Source organism: Homo sapiens, chromosome 19 (assembly GCF_000001405.40).
Source record: "Homo sapiens chromosome 19, GRCh38.p14 Primary Assembly".
NCBI classification, from domain to species: Eukaryota; Metazoa; Chordata; class Mammalia; order Primates; family Hominidae; genus Homo; species Homo sapiens.
The window spans coordinates 18,047,825-18,066,755 of NC_000019.10; the positions used below are offsets into that span (position 1 = coordinate 18,047,825).

Below are 18,931 nucleotides of genomic sequence, written 5' to 3' on the forward strand. Positions count from 1 at the left end.
AGAAATCGCTTGAACCCAGGAGGAAGAGGTTACTGTGAGCCGAGATCCTGCCACTGCACTCCAGCCTGGGCAACAGAGCAAGACTTCATCACAAACAAATGAACAAACAAAACTTATTTATTTTCTAGAAACAGGGTCTCGCTCTATCACCCAGGCTGGAGTACATTGGCATGATCATAGCTCATTGCAGCCTCAAACTCCTGGACTCAAGCGATCCTCCCACCTCAGCCTCCCTGAGTAGCTGGGACTACAGGCACCTGCCACCATGCCCAGCTACATTTTTTCAATTTTTTGGAGAGACAGGATCTTACTACATTGCCCAGGCTAGTCTCGAACTCCTGGGCTCAAACAATCCTACAGCCTCGGCCTCCCAAACTGCTGGGATTACAGCCTTGAGCCACCAACCTTGGCCAGATTTAGATTTGTATGGCCTTACGTTTCTGAGTTTGTAAGATTATATACGATTCATTTGTTCATTCATGTTCATTCATTCCTGGCCACATCCAGGTGCCTGCCTTATTTGGGGTAATGCTCGAGGCCCCAGCTTGGGAAGGTCCAGGCTGGATAGAGATATTCTTGTTCCCACAGGGTCAAGGCTAGGCTGGAGGGAGGTACCCAGGGCTGGGGGTCCCCAGCGATCCAGGAAGTGGGGGGCTTGCTGAAGAAGGGAACCTCATGCCAAAGGCCTGGGTCCCTTCCTCCTCATGCCCACCACCCCCATGACGAAAGCCAGAGAGGATGAGGGCAATGTGGGGCTTCCATACCCCAAATATGATCCTGGTGCCTGGTATGGAACCCCAGAGCCTGCCACCGTGTCTCTAGTGATCCTTGAAAAGTTCCAGCATATTTTGGGAGTACTCAACACCAACATCGATGGGTGGTGGAAAATAGCCTTTGCTATCACTGCCATTAAAGGTGTGGATGGAAGATACGCTTATGTGGTGTTGAGGAAAACAGACATTGACCTCACCAAGAGGGCGGGAGACTCACGGAGGATGAGATGGAATGAGTGATCACCATTGTGCAGAATCCACAGCAGTACAAGATCCCAGACTGGCTCTTGAACAGACAGAAGGATGTAAAGGATGGAAAATATAGCCAGGTCCTAGCCAGTGGTCTGGACAACAAGCTCCGTGAAGACCTGGAGCAACCGAAGAAGATTCCGGCCCATAGAGGGATGCACCACTTCTGGGGCCTTCATGTCTGAGGCCAGCACACCGAGACCATTGGCCGCCATGGCCGTACCTGTACCGTGGGTGTATCCAAGAAGAAATAAGTCTGTAGGCCTTATCTGTTAATAAATAGTTTATGGCCGGGCGCGGTGGCTCACGCCTGTAATCCCAGCACTTTGGGAGGCCGAGGTGGGCGGATCATGAGGTCAGGAGATTGAGACCATCCTGCTAACACGGTGAAACCCTGTCTCTACTAAAAATACAAATAATTAGCCAGGTGTGGTGGCACACGCCTGTAGACCCAGCTACTCTGGAGGCTGAGGCAGGAGAATCTCTTGAACCCGGAAGGCAGACGTTGCAGTGAGCTGAGATCATGCCACTGCACTCCAGCCTGGGCGAAAGAGCAAGACTGTCGCAAAAAAACAAATAGTTTATATACCAAAAAAAAAAAAAGGAAGAGGAAAAAAAACCTGAGCCCAAAGCCTAGCCCTAAACGTCACCTCCGGTCCCCATTCCCGGCTTGCACCGGGCAGCAGCCAACACCACGGGGAAGTGGCCTGGGCTTCCCGCCAGACTGCCTGCTGGAAAACTAGCTCTGGGAGGTGGGGGTGTCACCATCCAGTATGTGAGGGTGGAACCTTCTGGGCTGACCATTTATGGGACAGGCCCCTAGAATGGGAGGCCCAGGACAGCCGGAGAGCCACAGAGCCCAGCAGCTGGACCAGGGTGACCATGATGCCACTGGGGCTGGGACACCTGCACGAGACTCTTCAGGAATAAGCCCCTATTTCCCCACCTAAAAATGGAAGTGGGGCCGGGCACAGTGGCTCACGCCTGTAATCCCAGCACTTTGGGAGGCCGAGGCGGGTGGATCACTTGAGGTCAGGAGTTCGAGACCAGCCTGACCAACATGGTGAAACCCCGTGTCTACAAAAATACAAAAATTAGCCAGGCATCATGGTGGGGGGCCTGTAATCCCAGCTACTCAGGAAGCTGAGGGAGGAGAATCACTTGAACTGGGAAACAGAGGTTGCAGTGAGCAGAGATTGTGCCCCTGCCCTCCAGCCTGGGCCACAGAGCGAGACTCTGTCTCCAAAAGTAAAAAAAGAGACAAATAAACAGAGAAACAAGGAGAGACAGAGGCAGTGAGAGACAGAGACACAGAGAGATACACAGGGAGACACAGAGACAGGTGAAACAGAGACAGAGAGAGATGAGACAGAAACACACAGAGAGACAGACACAGAGAAACAGGGAAAGAGAGAAAGGGAGACACAGGGAGACAGAGACAGAGAGACAGAAGTGAGACAGAGAGATGAGACAAAGAGACAGAGAGAGAGACAGGGAGAGAGATGAGAAATGAGATAAAGAGAAAGATGACACAAATATTTTGGGAGGCTGAGGGGGGAGGATTGCTGGAGGCCAGGAATTAGAGACCAGCCTGGGCAACATAATGAGACCCTTATCTCTACAAAAAGAAAAAGAAAAAAAAAGATGGCAAAGAAAGAGACAAGGAGAGAGACAGAGAGACAAAACACAAAGATAGAGAGAGAGGGGCACAGGGAGAAAGAGACAAAGAGGGGCAAGACAAGCCAGGTGCGATGGCTCACTCCTGTAATCCAAGCACTTTGGGAGGCCGAGGAGGGCGGATTACCTGAGGCCAGAGAGTTCAAGATCAGCCTGACCAACATGGTGAAACCCCGTCTCTACTAAAAATACAAAAATTAGCATAGTAGGGTGGCGCACGCCTGTGATCTCAGCTACTTGGGAGGTTGAGGCAGGAGAATCTCTTGAACCTGGGAGGTGGAGGTTGCAGTGAGCCAAGATCACGCCATTGCACTCCAGCCTGGGCAATAGAGTGAGACTCTGTCTCAAAAAATTAAAAAAAAAAAAATTAAAAAAAAAAATAAAAGCAAGTCAGAGAAATAGAGACAGAGAGACAGGAAGAGATGAGAAATGAGAGATAGGGAGAGACAGGGAGGGAGGAAGGAAATAGGAAGCTGGGGGTGGGGCCAGGACACAGTGGCTCATGCTTGTAATCCCAGCACTTTGGGAGGCTGAGATGGGAGGACTGCTTGAGGCCAGGAATCTGAGACCAGCCTGAGCAGCAGAGTGAGTGCTCTTTCTACAAAAAATACAAAAATTAGCTGGGCTTGGTGGCACACACCTGCGGTCTCAGCTACTTGGAAGGCTGAGGTGGGAGGATTGTTTGAGCCCAGGAGGCTGCAGTGAGCTATGATCACACCACTGCACTCCAGCCTCTGGGTGACAGACAGAGACAGTGTCTCAAAATAAAACAAAATGAAAATTAGCCAGGCATGGTGGCGGGCACTTGTAATCCCAGCCACTCGGAAGGCTGAGGCAGGAGAATCGCTTGAACCTGGGAGGTGAAGATTGCAGTGAGCCGAGATCGCACCAGCCTGGGAAAGGAGAGCAAAACTCCGTCTCAGAATAATAATAAAATAAAATAAAGATCACTCCTGTTTAGTTGGTTAAGAAGAAAAAAAAAAGAGGTTAGGGGTACAAGACCAGCCACTGGGAGAAGAGGGCCCTCCTACCCGGCCAGAGGAGCCCCCTGCCTGGAGCTCCTGATCCCAGCACATAAGGTTTAATATTATTAAAGGTGATGATATCTTGGAGGGTTGGGCACCTCGTTCACCTAGCTCCTTCTCACCTCTCATAGGCCTCCCCGGGGGGTTAACTACCCCATTGCACCGATGGGGAAACTGAGGCTCGGAGAAGCCCTGGCTGCACAGGCAGTTGGAAGCAGAGCCAGGACTCGGCTGGATCCTTGAGACGTTTGTCGACTGACTGTGTGACCCTTGGCCCCTCCAGTCTCCAACCCGGAGGAGAAACCCGCCCCTCTTCCCGTCCCCCACCCCCAGCCCGCCCGGCGGGTGTTTTTTTTTTCCTCCTCCTGGGTATTTTGGTTTCGGCAGGAACCGCCCCGGGGAGCAGGCGGTTCCCGCTGGCAGGGTCAGCCCAGGGCGGGGACGGGAGCCAGGAGCAGCTCCAGGCCAGGGAAGGTGGGGAGGACTCGGGGAGGAAGCCTGGCCGTGGCCCCGACCACTGGGACCAGGCAGGTCGCGTCCCCATCCCAATCTTCCGGTGCCTCAGTTTCCCCACCTGGAAAGCGGGGCTCTGCGTGATCGCGGCACAGCCCGTGGAGGCGCGTCGCGCATGGGGCCGGGCGGGGTTTCCACGTCTCCGCCAAGGTTCTGTCCACTCAGTTATTAAACATTGATGGATCGGGGACAGAGCCAGAGGCCAGTGCCCCAAACCGGGGCGGGAGGTGGGGAGGGGAGGAGGGGGGAGGGACAGGCCAGAGGTGGGGGCTGGGGGCGGGGAGGATGGGGAGAGGTGCCCGCAAGAGGGGTTTATCAAGATCAGGAGGATTCTCAGGTAGCACACCCAAAGCACAAGCCAGCAAAGGAAAATAGATCAACCCGACTCCACACAATGCAAGACTTTTCTTCTGCAAGGCCACTATTAAGAGAGGCCTGGCACAGTGGCTCACACCTGTAATCCCAGCACTTTGGGAGGTTGAGGCAGGAGGATCGCTTGAGTCCAGGAGTTCAGGATCAGTCTGGACAACATAGTGAGATGAGACCTTGTCTATACAAAAAATATTTAAAAATTAGCCAGGTGTGGTGGTGTGTGCTTGTATAGTCCCAGCTACTGGGGAGGCTGAGGTGGGAGGATCGCTTGAACCCAGGAGTTCGAGGCTGCAGTGAGCTATGATTGCGTTGCTGCACTCCAGCCTGGGCAAAAGAGGGAGACTCTATCTCAAAAAAAAAAAAAAAAATGACAACCCACAGAATGGGAGAATATATGTGCAAATTTTGTATCTGATAAGGGTCAAAAAGATAAATAATCCAGTCAGACATGGTGGCTCACGCCTGTAATCCCAGCACTTTGGAAGGCTGAAGCGGGCAGATCACTCAAGGTCAGGAGTTCAAGACCAGCCTGGCCAACATGGTGAAACATTGTTTCTACTAAAAATACAAAAATTATCCGGGCATGGTGGCTAACGCCTGTAATCCCAGCTACTTGGGAGGCTGAGGCAGGAGAATCGCTTGAATCTGGGAGACAGAGATTGTGGTGAGCCAAGATAACGCCACTGTACTCCAGCCTTGGCATCAGAACATCAAAAAGAAGAAGAAGGAGGAGGAGGAGAAGGAGAAGGATAAGAAGAAAAAGGAGGCCAGGCGCAGTGGCTCACGTCTGTAATCTCAACACTTTGGGAGGCTGAGGTGGGAGGGTTACTTGAGCTCAGGAGTTCCAGAACAGCCTGGCCAACATGGTGAAACTCTGTCTCTAGTAAACATACAAAAATTAGCCGGGCATGGTGGCAAGAGCCTGTAATCCCAGCTACTTGGGAAGCTGAAGCACGAGGATGATCGCTTGAACCCGGGAGGCAGAGGTTGCAGTGATCCGAGATCACGCCACTGCACTGCAGCCTGGGTGACAGAGTGAGATCCTGTCTCAAAAAAAAAAAAAAAAAAAAGAAAAGAAAAAGGAAAATAGCAAGTGTTGATGAGGATGTGGAGAAATTTGAACCCCCATGCCTTGCTGGAGGGAATGTGAAATGGTACAGCTGACGTGGAAAACTTTGGCAGATCTTCCAGAAGTTAAACACAGAATTACCATATGACTCTGTGATTCCACTCCTAGATGTATACGGAGAAAACTGAAAACAGGTGTTTACGCCAAAACTTGTACACAAACTCTCAGAGCTGCGCTATCCACAATAGCCAGAAAATGGAAACCACCGAAATGTCCATTGATGGCTGAGTGGATAAATAAATAGTGACACATCCACACAATGGAATGCTATTCAGCCATCAAAAAGAACGAAACCCTGACACACACTATAATGAGGATGCGTTTCAAAAACATCTGAGTTTCTTTCACAAAAGAACAGACAGAAAGGCCACATATTGTATGATTTCATTGATATGAAATGCCCAGAACAGGCAAATCCATAGAGACAGGAAGCAGATTAGTGGCTGCCAGGGGCTGGGGGAGGGGAACGGGGAGTGGCTACTGATGGCACAGGTTTTCTTTTTGGGGAGATGAAAATGTTCTAGAATTAGGTATGAGTGATGGCTGCACAACCTTGTGATTGTACAAAAACCACTGAATTGTACTTTTTTTTTTTTTTTTTTTTGAGACAGGGTCTCACTCTGTCACTCAGGCTGGAGTGCAGTGGTGCAATTACGGTTCACTGCAGCCTCAACCTCTTGGGCTCAAGTGATCCTCCTGCCTCGGCTTCTCAAAATGCTGGGATTGCAGGCATGAGCCACCACGCTCAGTGTCAACTGTACACTTTAAGAGGGTGAATTGTATGGTGTGTGAATGTATCTTAAAAAAGGAGGAATGGCCGGGCGCAGTGACTCACGCCTGTAATCCCATCACTTTGGGAGGCCAAGGTGGGCAGATCGCCTGAGGTCAGGAGTTTGAGACCAGCCTGGCCAACATGGTGAAACTCCGTCCCTAGCAAAAATACAAAAATTAGCCATGCATGCTTGGTGGTAGGTGCCTGCAGTCCCAGCTACTCCAGAGGCTGAGGCAGAAGAATTGCTTGAACCCAGGAGGTGGGGTTGCAGTGAGCCGAGATCACGCCACTGCACTCCAGCCTCCTGGGCGACAGAGTGAGATTCCATCTAAAAAAAAAAAAAAAAAGAGGAATAAGGCTGGGGCTCAGTGGCTCGTGCCTATAATCTCAACAGTTTGGGAGGCTGAGACAGGAGGATTGCTTGAGCCCAGGAGTTCAAGATTGGTCTGGACAACATAGCAAGACTCTGTTTCTACTTTAAATTTTTTTTTTAAATGAAAGAAATGAGTTAAAAAAGAGAGAGAGAGAAATGGGCAGAGGGCAGAGTTGGAAGAAGGGCCTTCCTGGGCAGAGGGCCTGGCATCTGGGGCACAGATAATAAAGTATCAGGGGCCAGGCCAGGGGCTACCCTGAGTCCAGGGGTCATCTCCTGCAGCTCATGGTTCCCAGAAACCTGACACCTCAGTCCCATCCCGGCTGAAGGGCAGAGGCAGAGACAACATCTGTTTCTGACCAAACCCAGAGGCTACTGGAGAGATAGAGAAGGAAGGTACCTGGGAAGGTAAACTGAGGCAGCCTATCTCTCTGATGGAGACACGCTTCCCACCCAGTAGGTGGGAGCCATGGAGAAGGGAAAAGATGGATCAGGAAAGACAGAGACAGAGGAGGGGAGGTGGGAAGAGGGGCAGGGGCTCTGGAGAGGCTGCCTGACCACATCCATTTTATGGACCAGAAAACTGAGGCCCACAAGATGAATCACTTACTCCCAGCTGAACTGCAGCCAGAATAAACTCTGAACCTCTCACCCGTCAGGACCTGACTCTCCAGCTCCAGGACCCCACAACCCAAGAATAAAACCCTAGCCCGCCAGGCGCGGTGGCTCACGCCTATAATCCCAGCACTTTGGGAGGACGGGGCAGGCGGATCACGAGGTCAGGAGATCGAGACCATCCTGGCCAACATGGTGAAACACCGTCTCTACTAAAAACAGAAAAAGATTAGCCGGGCATGGTGGCGGGCGCCTGTAGTCCTAGCTACTCGGGAGGCTGAGGCAGGAGAATGGCGTGAACCCGGAAGGCAGAGCTTGCAGTGAGCCTAGATCGCGCCACTGCACTCCAGCCTGGGCAACAGAGCGAGACTCCATCTCAAAAAAAAAAAAAACCTAGCCCACGGGTACAGTGGCTCACGCCTGTAATCCCAGCACATTGAGAGGCCAAGACAGGAGGATCACTTGAGCCTAGGAGTTTGAGATCAGCCCAGGCAATATGGTGAGACTCTGTCTCTACAAATAATCAAATAAACTAAGCTGAGCGTGGTGGCACGTGCCTGTGGTTCTAGCTGCACAGGAGGCTGAGGAAGGAGGAACAGTTGAGCCCGAGAGGTCGAGGCTGCAGTGCGCTGTGGTCACGCCACTGCACTCCAGCCTGGGCGACAGAACGAGACCCCATCTCAAAAGAAAAAAAACAGCTCTGGTCCATATGCCCCCAGCCTCACGTGGGCTACAACCTCTTCCCCCATCCCCCGTCCATTCCCCACCAGCAACCTCAGGGCCTTTGCACTCCCTCTTCTGGCCCCTCTTTACCACCTTGGTCCTAGCATTGCCTCCTCCAGGAAGCCCTCCCTCACTGGCTACTCCTCACATCCCCACTCATCACTCTTACGGTTTCTCATAACTCTCTGAGTGATAATTAGATTAGTGTCTGCCTTCCCCACCCAGCTAAGAGCCCCTTATGACCAGGAAGATCCTGACTTGTGCAAGATGGGGCCTGGTATACAGTAGGCACTCAATGCTGGCTTTTTTTTTTTTTTTTTTTGAGACAGGGTCTCACCTTGTCACCCAGGCTGGAGTGCAGTGGCGCGATCTCAGCTCACTGCAACCTTGACCTCCCCAGGTTCAGGTGATTCTCCCACCTCAGCCCTCAGCCTCCCAAGTAGCTGAGACTACAGGCATGTGCCACCAAACCTGGCTAATTTTTGTATTTTTAGTAGAGACGGGGTTTCACCATGTTGGCCAGGCTGGCCTCGAACTCCTGAGCTCAAGCGATCGGCCCGCCTTGGCCTCCCAAAGTGCTGGGATTACAGGTGTGAGCCACCGCGCCGGACCCTGATTTCTTAAATGAATGAATGAAACTGAGCTGTGAAATGGGGGCTAACACCATCCTGACTCCTGGAGCTGCTGGGAGAAGCTGAGGCAATGGCTGCTCTGAGGAGCCCTGGAGTAATAGTTGCATAGCAGTTGCTCAATAAATACCAGGCCAGGGCCCAGCTAAGCAAACTTGCTGGGCCCATTGAGAAAAGGACTCCAAATCCCTTCCTATTTTATAGACGGGTAAGCAGAGGCCCAGAAAGAACCTCCTGTTGGTCATTTTCTAGGGACAGAAGAAGGACTCAAAGTGGCTTCATCAAACAGGGAACTGAGGCCGGGTGCAGTGGCTCATGCCTGTAATCCCAGCACTTTGGGAGGCCAAGTCAGGTGGATCATTTGAGCTCAGCAGTTCGAGACCAGCCTGGGCAACATGGCAAAACCTTGGCAACAAGGCTTGAGCCTGAGGCTGAGGCTGGAGGATCACTCGATCCTAGGAAGTGGAGGTTGCAGTGAGCCAAGATGGTGCTACTGCACTCCAGCCTGGGCAACAGAGTGAGACCCTGTCTCAAAAAAGAAACAAAAAATAAAAAAAAATATTTATTTATTTATTTATTTATTTATTTATTTTTTGAGACGGAGTCTCGCTCTGTCGCCCAGGCTGGAGTGTAGTGGCACAATCTCGGCTCACTGCAACCACCCCCTTCCAGGTTCAAGCGATTCTCCCGCCTCAGCCTACCAAGTAGCTGGGATTATAGGCGCTTGCCACCACGCCCAGCTAATTTTTGTATTTTTAGTAGAGACGGGGTTTCACCATGTTGGCCGGGCTTGTCTCAAACTCCTGACCTCAGGTGATCAGCCCGCCTCTGCCTCCCAAAGTGCTGGGATTACAGGCGTGAGCCACCATGCCCGGCCTAAAATATTTTTTAAAAACAGGAACCAGATGGAAAATATTGGGTTTCAGGTATGGCTGGATCCAGGAACTAATGCTTCATCTCGGTGCTGCTGTCCTCCCTGCAGGCTCCTCTCTCAGACAGGCATCCCCACGGTAGGAAGGAAAGAGGCTCCAAGCTCCAGGCTTCCCTCTGTCCAGCTCAGTCTCCCGCTAGTGGAAGCAGGGTGTGCATCTTCCCCATGCACTCTGGCAAAAGTCCCAGCTGCTGCCAGTAAACATTGCCTGTCTCCTACTTCTCGCACCCAAGGGACTGTGCATAGGGGTGGGTTTGCAGCCAACTCCAGGGGCCTCCAGGGCTCACACCTGCAATCCCAGCAGTTTGGGAGGCCGAGGCGGGTGGATCACTTGAGGTCTGGAGTTCAAGACGAGCCTGGCCAACATGGTGAAACCCTGTTTCTACTAAAAATACAAACACATTTTAGCTGGTCAGGGTGGCGGGCGCCTGTAATCCCAGCTACTTGGGAGGCTGAGGCAGGAGAATCGCTTGAACCCGGGAGGTTGCCGTGAGCCAAGATCGCGCCATTGCACTCCAGCAACAAGAGCCAAACTCCGTCTCAGAAAAAAGAAAGGAGGATAAACGCTCAAGGGAGGGCATGCCTGGTGGAGGGAACGGCTTGAGCAGAAGCTGGGATGTGGCAGATCCGGAGCGGGGCGGGGGGCATTTGCAGAACTCTGACCAGCCACCGTGTGGCTGGGGCACCGAGATCCAGGCCTCTGTTTCCCTATCTAGATGCATCGATGGGGAAAGGGAGGCCCCCAGACCAAAGGGGCGGGGCCTGGGCCTCTTGCCTCCTGGCCCTATTGGCTGCCAGGGGTCTCTCCCCGAGAGGTCTCATCCTTTTTTTGCCACAAAATTCAGTAGTTCTGGGCTTTTTAACTCCCCTCCTCTGTCTGAAACCGGAAAAGTCTGTTTAGCAAACGCGGTGGGAGGAGGCAGGGCGGGCCCGGCCGGGGAAACGCGCGCCGCTGTTGCCACCTGGTGGCCATGGGGAGAATCTGGACTACCCGCTAATCGCCAGGGCTGGGGTGGGATTTCAGGAGCCCCCCCCCACACCTCGGCTCAGACCGCAGTGGGGATCAGGGGGAGGCGGCTGCAGAACGCGAGGGAGGTGGGGCAGTGTGGGCAGAAAGAGGGAGGATTCAGGGTGTGTAAGGGGGGCAAGGGTCCTGCTGCGAGTTGGTGGGCGTGAGGAGGAAGGAGCGTGGGGGCAAACCACGGTTCCTGTTACCGGAGTGCCCGGCTGCTCCACTCCCCCTAGGCCGTCCCTTCCCCTGCTCAGTCCTAACTTAGTAGGGTTCCAAGCTCTCATCCGGCTCTGTCTCCCCCGGATTAGGTGCTCCTGGAGGAGACCTAGAGGAAGAGATTAATAAATATATGTGGAATGAATGAATGAATGAATGAATGAATTCCAAGGCTCGTGTTTTGAGATTTTGAGCAGGACATTCAAGCTTCAAACAGGAAAAAAATACCCAAGAGGAGGCTCATTTACGATGATTTTGAACAGCTGTGTAAGGTCATTATCACCACCCCCATTTTATAGGGGGGTGAGGGTGGGGTGGGGGGTGGGATGGGAGGACCGTCATTTTTCCCACAAAGTTTACAGCCCCCTTCCCTATATGCCTGGATCCTCCAAGCTACAAGACCCCGCAATGCTGCAGGGAGCCCTTGAGTCCAGACTCCCCATCCAGTGCTCCTGGGGGTGGATGCCCAGCCCAGGGTCCAGGGATCCATCTGAGCCCCCCTTGCCCCCATTCCCAGTCCATTCTACGCCAGAACAGGTAAATGGCAGGGTCTGCTCCTGCCCCACGGATGCCAGGCCCAGCAGGGTGCAGCAGCTTCCATTTCATGGCAGCATCTAGGGTTCCCCCGCAGGATGGGTGGCAACAGGCACGGGGCAGAGAGGAGGCAGGTGCACTGGAGCCTGGAGGAGCTCTGGGTTATTTGGGTCCAAATGTGACTCCTGTGTGTGCTACGTAGCCTCGGGCGAGTCACTCACCCTCTCTGAGCCTCAACGATCACATCTGTAAAGTACAACAGTCATGGTTCCTTTCAGGGGGTGGTTGTAGGGATTTGGTAGGGAATCATGTGAGTGGATGGAATGGGCTGGGTATGCCATAAGTGCTTAATAACCAGCCGTTGTGATTGAGATAGTCGCTCTTCGTGTCTGTAAGACAAAGTGGATGTTTTCGTTTCTCCCTCAGGCCTCCAGGCCCTGATATCCCAGGAGCGATGGATGTCTAGCCCCCCCACCCCCCGGGCAGGGTTGCACCCCTGACCGTCTGGCCCACTGGGCCCCAGGACCTTGGCCTTGCACCTGTCTCCATCCTCCAAGGACAACTCTGTATCCAGGGCCAGCTCAGGGGCACCCTCAGGTAGCTCTGTCTTCTCGAGAGGCTCAGTCCTCTCGCCTTTGTCCCAGGACATCTCTACCACCAGGGCCTCCTGCAGGGATGCCTCTTCCTGGAAGTCCACTGGGTTGATCCACTGCCAAGTCTGCAGAGGGAGGGTAGGGCCACAGCTGTGAGCAGAGCTCTACTTCCCATCCACAGCAGGATGGAACGGACCAGGTCACTGCTGGTTAAATTCTCTAACATCCTGAGACCTGGACGGGTGCAGTGGCTCACACCTGTCATCCCAGCACTTTGGGAGGCTGAGGCGGGTGGATCACTTGAGGTCAGCAGTTTGAGACCAGCCTGGAGAACATGGCCAAACCCCATCTCTACTAAAAATACAAAAATTAGCTGAGCTTGGTTGCGCACGCCTGTAATCCCAGCTACTTGGGAGGCTGAAGCAGGAGAATCGTTTGAACCCGGGAATCAGAGGTTGCAGTGAGCCGAGATGGCGCCACTGCACTCCAGGCTGGGTGACAGAGCGAGACTCCATATATCCTGAGACCGATTTGAGGATGGAGTCTGCCGCACTGACTCCCATTCAGCCCCTCTTAGGAAGAGCACTCCCATCTGTCTTTGGGAAATTTCCCTCCCTCTTTTCACAGATGGTGTGGTTGACAGTGCAGTGACCCCACCTCAGCTCTAGCAATGGTCATGTGACCCTGGCCAGCCCACCCATCAGACCCTTCCCTACCCCTCTGGTTCTAGCCATAGGCTCAGGGAAGGGCATGTGACCCAAGCTGGACCAATCAGTGATGGCCCTGAGACTTTTGCCCCAGTTAATGGGGAAAATGGACACCCTGCTTCCAATCAGAGAAGGCTCAGCCTGCCTGCGGAAGAACCCTGAACGGGCAGCTCCGAGATAGACCCCAATCGCTGGATTCAGGCATATCTGAAGCCCATTCCCTTGGGATTTTTTCCATCAGGTTTCCTTTATAATAAAGCCACTTTGAATTCTGTTTCTAGTGCCAGGAAATGGACCTCTGCCTGCCTGTCTTTAAAATGGGAAGGGGTATGGAGCACTGGTTTTGGAGTCCTTACCTTGATGAATTGGGAGAGAATAAAATGAGCTAATGCGTAACCCTTGTCCAGCATGTGCACCCAATAAAAAGACTTGGAATTAGAAAAGGCATCCTTACCTCCTTCCCTCCAGGGAACTCAATGGCGGAGCTGGCACAGGGTGTGGGCAGCGGCGGGCACAGGTGCCGTGCGGCCCTGGGGAGGAAAGGGGACCAGTGAGAGGAGCTGAGGTTTTTTTTTTTTTTGGAGACGGAGTCTTGCTCTGTTGCCCAGGCTGGAGTGCAGTGGCGCGATCTCGGCTCACTGCAACCTCTGCCTCCTGGGTTCAATCGATTCTCCTGACTCAGCCTCCTGAGTAGCTGAGATTACAAACGTGTGCCACCACACCCGGCTAATTTTTGTAGTTTTGGTAGAGAGAGGTTTCGCCATGTTGGCCAGGCTGGTGTCCAACTCCTGGCCTAAAGCGATCTGCCTGCCTCAGCCTCCCAAAGTGCTGGGATTACAGGAGTGAGCCACCGTGCCCGGCTTGAAAGCAGCTTTCAATCAGACATGCCCACCAGTGTCACCGCCCCTTTCCATGGGAATGACCAAGGACCCAAAAGTTACTATCCCTTCCCTAGAAATTTCTGCATAGGATCACCTGAGGTCAGGAGTTCAAGACCAGCCTGGCCAACATGGTGAAACCCTATCTCTACTGAAAATACAAAATAAATAGCTGGGTGTGATGGCACGCACCTGTAGTCCCAGCTACTTGGGAGGCTGAGACAGGAGAATGGCTTGAACCCGGGAGGGGGAGGTTGCAATAAGCCAAGATCGTGCCACTGCACTCTAGCCTGGGTAACAGAGTAAGACTCCATCTCAAAAAAGAAAAAAAAAAGAAAGAAATTTTGCATAAACTGCCCCCCTTAATCTGCATGCAATTAAAAGTAAGTATAAATCTGACTGCAAAACCGCTCTCAGCGGCTACTCTCCGCCTACAGGGAAGCCCTGCTCTGCAGAGGCAGTCACGGAGCTATAACTGCTGCTTCAATAAAGCTGTTTTCTTCTACCTCTGGCTTGCCCTTGAATTATTTCCTGGGCAAAGCCAAGGACCCAATCTGCGGGCTAAGCTCCACTTTAGGGCTCCCCTGCCCAGCATCATTACCATCGCTATGGTAACGGTAAGAGGTGTCAGTTACCTGTTCAGGCCAAGGTAGCCAAGGACGCCCACGAGAAGGATGCTCAGGAAGCTCCCCAGGGAGGCGAAGAAGATGAGCCAATCAGAAACCTGCACTTCTGAGGTGGGAGAGCGTGGGTTGGCAGAGGGCTACCTCCTGCCTCTTCCTCAGGGAAGGAGCTAGGAGGGCCTGGTTTCTCCATGAACTTGCTGCTGATCCTGGTGCACATGCCACGGGCTTCTCACTGGGAGACCACAGAACCCACCTGCCCGGTAGCTGTCAAGAAATAAAGGCCTGGCATGCAGGAAGTGTTCAAGACTCTGTAATTCCAGGCCGGGCACAGTGACTCATGACTGTTATCCCAGCACTTTGGGAGGCCAACGTGGGCTGATCACCTGAGGTCAGGAGTTCGAGACCAGCCTGACCAATATGATGAAACCTGTCTCTACTAAAAACACAAAAATTAGCTGGGCGTGGTGGTGTGCGCCGGTAATCCCAGCTACTTGGGAGGGTGAGACAGAAGAATCGCTTGAACTCGGGAGGCGGAGGTTGCAGTGAGCCGAGATCGCATCATTGCATTCCAGCCTCGGCAATAAGAGGGAAAATCTGTCTCAAAAAGATAAAAAAAGACTCTGTAATTCCAGGAGCCTGCACATAGGGCACATGTGGCTGCCCCTGGACCCAGGCCTGCCTGCCCCCCACCAACCCTGACTCTTTTGTTCTCTGGGTTCCAGTTGGTTCTCTTGGAACTGAAAGGACACCGTGGCATGAACAGGGATCATTTGATCTCTGAATCTCTTATAACCATGCACCCGACAACAGAGCCTGTGTTGTTCTCTTCCTCCTCCTCCTCCTCCTCCTCCCTCTTCTTCTATTCCTCTTCCTCTTCTTCTTCTTTCTTCTCCTTCTTCTTCTTCTATTTTTTTTTTTTTTTTTTTTTTTTTTTTTTTTTTTGAGACAGGGTCTTGCTCCGTCGCCCAGGCCAGAGTGCAGTGGTGCAGTCACGGCTCACTGCAACCTTGAACTCCTGGTCTCAAGCCATCCTCCCACCTCAGCCTCCTGAGCAGCTGAGACTACAGGTGTGCACCACCACACCCCACTATTTTAAAAATATTTTTTGTAGAGATGAGGTCTCACCATGTTGCCCAGGCTGGTCTTGAACTCCTCGGCTCAAGCAATCCTCCAGCCTCAGCCTCCCAAAGTGCTGGGATTACAGGTGTGAGCCACCACACCGGGTTTTGCCTGTGTCCTCCTTATTTTTGCATTCATTTATTTGTCGCTCAATGAACAGATTCCTGCATCTTCCTCCTCCCCAAGAGCCCCCAGATACCTTGACACATCTACCCCAACCCCGCAGTGTCAGACCAGGGAGAAGGGACAGTTGTAAACAAGGGCATGGCCAGAAGGAGGCAGAGAAGTCTTGCTGGAGGAGGGAACTTTTGAGCTGAGTTTTGAAGGACGAATAGGAGTTGGACCGTGTGGAAAACAAACATTCCAGGCAGGAGGCAGGGAAGGGCCTGCATGGGCAAGGCTCCTGGAGTGTGAGAGGAAGCTGCGAGAGAAGGCAATGGGAGCAGTTTGAGCTGCTACTTTCTCCTGAGGGCAGTAGGGAGCCATAGAGGGAGTGAGAGTGAGGGCAGGGCTGCTAAGATCATTGTGGGAAGCGCAGTGCAGTGCATGCTGGGTAAATAACTGGGTCCTACCCCCTCCACTCACCGATGCTGAAGCGCTGGGGCTGGCTCCAGACACCCCTCAGCCACGCTGTGTCTGCTCGCACCTGCACCGTGTAGGCTACACCAGCCCGCAGGCCACTGAGGGTAACTTGGGTCTCTGTGGGCTGCACGGGATGCTCTGCAGTGGGAGAGGCAACCCTGAGTCCTGGGACCTCTTTACTCCTCAGAGGCCAGGCTGGGCTACCACAGCCTGTGGGTGGGGTGGGGATTCATAGGCATTTTGCTAAAATCTCTACTCTTTCTTTCTTTTTTTTTTTTTTTTTTTGAGACGGAGTCTTGCTCTGTCGCCCAGGCTGGAGTGTAGTGGCGCCATCTCGGCTCACTGCAAGCTCTGCCTCCTGGGTTCACACCATTCTCCTGCCTCAGCCTCCCGAGTAGCTGAGACTACAGGCGCCCGCCACCACGCCCAGCTAATTTTTTGTATTTGTAGTAGAGACGGGGTTTCACTGTGTTAGCCAGGATGGTCTCGATCTCCTGACCTCGTGATCTGCCCACCTCGGCCTCCCAAAGTGCTGGGATTACAGGTGTGAGCCACCAAGCCCAACCTAAAATCTCTTCTCTTAATGCGCCCATTCATCTCAAGATTTTTTTTTTTTTTGAGATGGAGTCTCACTCTGTTGCCCAGGCTGGAGTGCAGTGGCACAATCTCAGCTCACTGCAACCTCCACCTCCCAGGTTCAAGCGATTCTTGTGCCTCAGCCTCCTGAGTAGCCGGGATTACAGGCGCCCACCACCATAGCCAGCTAATTTTTTGTATTTTTAATACACATGAGGTTTCACCATGTTGGCCAGGCTGGTCTTGAACTCCTGGCCTCAAGTGATCCGCCCGCCTCAGCCTCCCAAAGTGCTGGGATTACAGGCGTGAGCCACCGCGTCCGGCTGACTTGTTGGATCTTTGGGCAGGTGGATCTGAGGTTGGAGGCAGGATTGGACTCTGGAGGCAGGGCTTGGACACAGGACCAAACTGAGGACTAGCTAAAGCAGGTCCTGGGCTTTCCATAAGACACGCCCACCAGTGTGCCATGTCAGTTTACCATTACCATGGCAACACCCGGAAATTACCGCCCCTGTCCACGGCAATGATCCCACAACCCGGAAGTTACTACCTTCATCCTAGATATTTCTGCATAAACCGCCCCTTCATTTGCATATAATTAAAAGCGGGTATAAATATGAGACGTAGCTGCCCTGCCTGTGGGGCGTCCCCACTCTGCAAGGAGCAGGACTTCTGCTGCTGCTCTACACGGCCACTTCAGTAAAAGTTTCTGTCTAACACCACCGACATGCACTTGAACTCTTTCCTGGGGAAAGCCAAAAACCCTCCTGGCTAAACCCTGTTTTGTGGGCTTTCCTGTCCCTCATCAGATCCCCCCTCCAGGCCTTAGTTTCCTCATCTGTGGAATGGAGACAGTCATCCCTGCTTGATGAGAGTTCAGCTGCTGCTACATGTGAGGGGCAGCTTCCCATGGATGAATCCAATACACCATAAGCACTTGGCTGGTGCCCACCCAGCCTTCTCCAGGGTCTGCAAGGGGTGATCGAGACCCTCAAGTTCAGCTGGGTGCTCATGACTAATCCCAGCACTTTGGGAGGCCAAGGTGGGAGGATAGTTTGAGGCCAGAAGTTTGAAACCAGCCTGAGCGAGGCCGGACACGGTGGCTCACACCTGTAATCCCAGCCCTTTGGGAGGCCAAGGCGGGTGATTCACCTGAGGTCAAGAGTTTGAGACCAGCCTGGTCAACATGGTGAAACTCCGTCTCTGCTAAAAATACAAAAATTTGCCAGGCATGGTGGTGGGTGCCTGTAATCCCAGCTACTTGGGAGGCTGAGGCAAGAGAATTGCCTGAACCCGGGAGGCAGAGGTTGCAGTGAGCTGAGATGGCGCCACTGCACTCCAGCCTGGGTGACAGAGACAGACTCCCTCTCAAAAAGAAAAAAAAGAAAAAATCCCAGCCTGGGCAATATAGCAAGGCCTCATTTCTACAAAAAATAAAATATTAACTGTGCATGGTGGTGTGCACCTGTGTTTCCAGCTACTAGGGAGGCTGAGGTGGGAGGATCGCTTGAGCCCAGGAGGTTGAGGCTGCTGTGAGCTATGATGGCACCACTGCACTCCAGCCTGGGCACAGAGTGAGTCCCTGTCTATAAAATTAAAAAAAAAAAAAAAAAGACCCTCAAGTCTAATTCTCTTGTTTTTGTTTTTTGTTTGTTTGTTTTCGTTTTTGTTTTTTCTGAGACAGAGTCTCACTCTGTCACCCAGGCTGGAGTGCACTGGTACAATCTCGGCTCACTGCAATCTCCGCCTCCTGGGTTCAAGCGATTCTCCTGCCTCAGCCTCCCGTGTAGCTAGAATTACAGGCATGTGCCACCATGCCCGGCTAATTTTGTATTTTTAGGAGAGACGGGGTTTCTCCAAGTTTGTCAGGCTGGTCTTGAACTCCTGACCTCAGGTGATCCGCCCGCCTTGGCCTCCCAAAGTGCTGGGATTACAGGCGTGAGCCACTGCGCCCAGCCAATTCTCTTGTTTTAAGGGTTTGATAACCAAGGCCCAGAGAAGGACGGCAAGGTGCCCAGGGTCACACAGCAAGAGAGATCACAGGCCAGGATCCTCCCTTCCTCCCCAAGCCAGGTCTGCACTGCCTCACGTACCTGACACCTGTTTGCTGTCTTCATCTCGGCAGCGGACAACATACTCCTTTAGGACGCCGGGACAGGTGCTCAGCAGGGATGGTGCCCAGTCCACAGACACAGAGTCCAAGCTATGATTCTTCACCGAGACGTGGTGCGGTGTCCCAGCTGCTGAGGCTGCAACCAGTACCATTGTCATAGTCAACACCAAGAATGCTGGTCGAGGCCTGGCACA

The 18,931-nt window shown here is 52.8% G+C and overlaps 1 protein-coding gene and 1 pseudogene across 20 annotated transcripts in view, besides 3 other annotated features; one reads left to right on the plus strand and one right to left on the minus strand.

The window, feature by feature from the left end:
- RPS18P13 (ribosomal protein S18 pseudogene 13) lies at positions 805-1,310 on the plus strand (annotated as a pseudogene).
- Positions 1,544-1,705: a silencer, noted in NCBI's record as "fragment chr19:18160178-18160339 (GRCh37/hg19 assembly coordinates)". NCBI's record gives its function as "represses an EF-1alpha promoter that drives an FKBP-Casp9 reporter gene in an ReSE screen in K562 erythroleukemia cells {active_cell/tissue: K562}" and the evidence as "EXISTENCE:reporter gene assay evidence [ECO:0000049][PMID:32094911]".
- Positions 3,743-4,244: an enhancer, noted in NCBI's record as "H3K4me1 hESC enhancer chr19:18162377-18162878 (GRCh37/hg19 assembly coordinates)". NCBI's record gives its function as "activates a minimal SCP1, AML or CMV promoter by ChIP-STARR-seq in primed H9 embryonic stem cells {active_cell/tissue: H9 hESC(primed)}" and the evidence as "EXISTENCE:reporter gene assay evidence [ECO:0000049][PMID:30033119]".
- Positions 11,171-18,931, minus strand: part of IL12RB1 (interleukin 12 receptor subunit beta 1) — a 39,933-nt gene continuing 32,172 nt past the window's right edge. For 6 of the 20 annotated variants that reach the window (XM_011527969.3, XM_011527967.3, XM_011527968.4 and 3 more), the window contains 6 exons: positions 18,718-18,873; positions 16,052-16,186; positions 14,357-14,453; positions 13,298-13,373; positions 12,083-12,261; positions 11,171-11,932 (listed from right to left, as the gene is read on the minus strand). In XM_011527969.3, the coding sequence (XP_011526271.1) occupies positions 11,818-11,932; positions 12,083-12,261; positions 13,298-13,373; positions 14,357-14,453; positions 16,052-16,186; positions 18,718-18,873 (758 nt within the window). In that variant the 3' untranslated portion in view covers positions 11,171-11,817. The other 14 variants (NM_001290024.2, XM_047438768.1, XM_011527971.4 and 11 more) reach the window with 4 other exon arrangements.
- Positions 17,035-17,329: an enhancer, noted in NCBI's record as "tiled region #12288; HepG2 Activating non-DNase unmatched - State 4:PromP, and K562 Activating DNase matched - State 5:Enh". NCBI's record gives its function as "activates a minimal TATA promoter and a strong SV40 promoter by Sharpr-MPRA in HepG2 and K562 cells {active_cell/tissue: HepG2 | K562}" and the evidence as "EXISTENCE:reporter gene assay evidence [ECO:0000049][PMID:27701403]".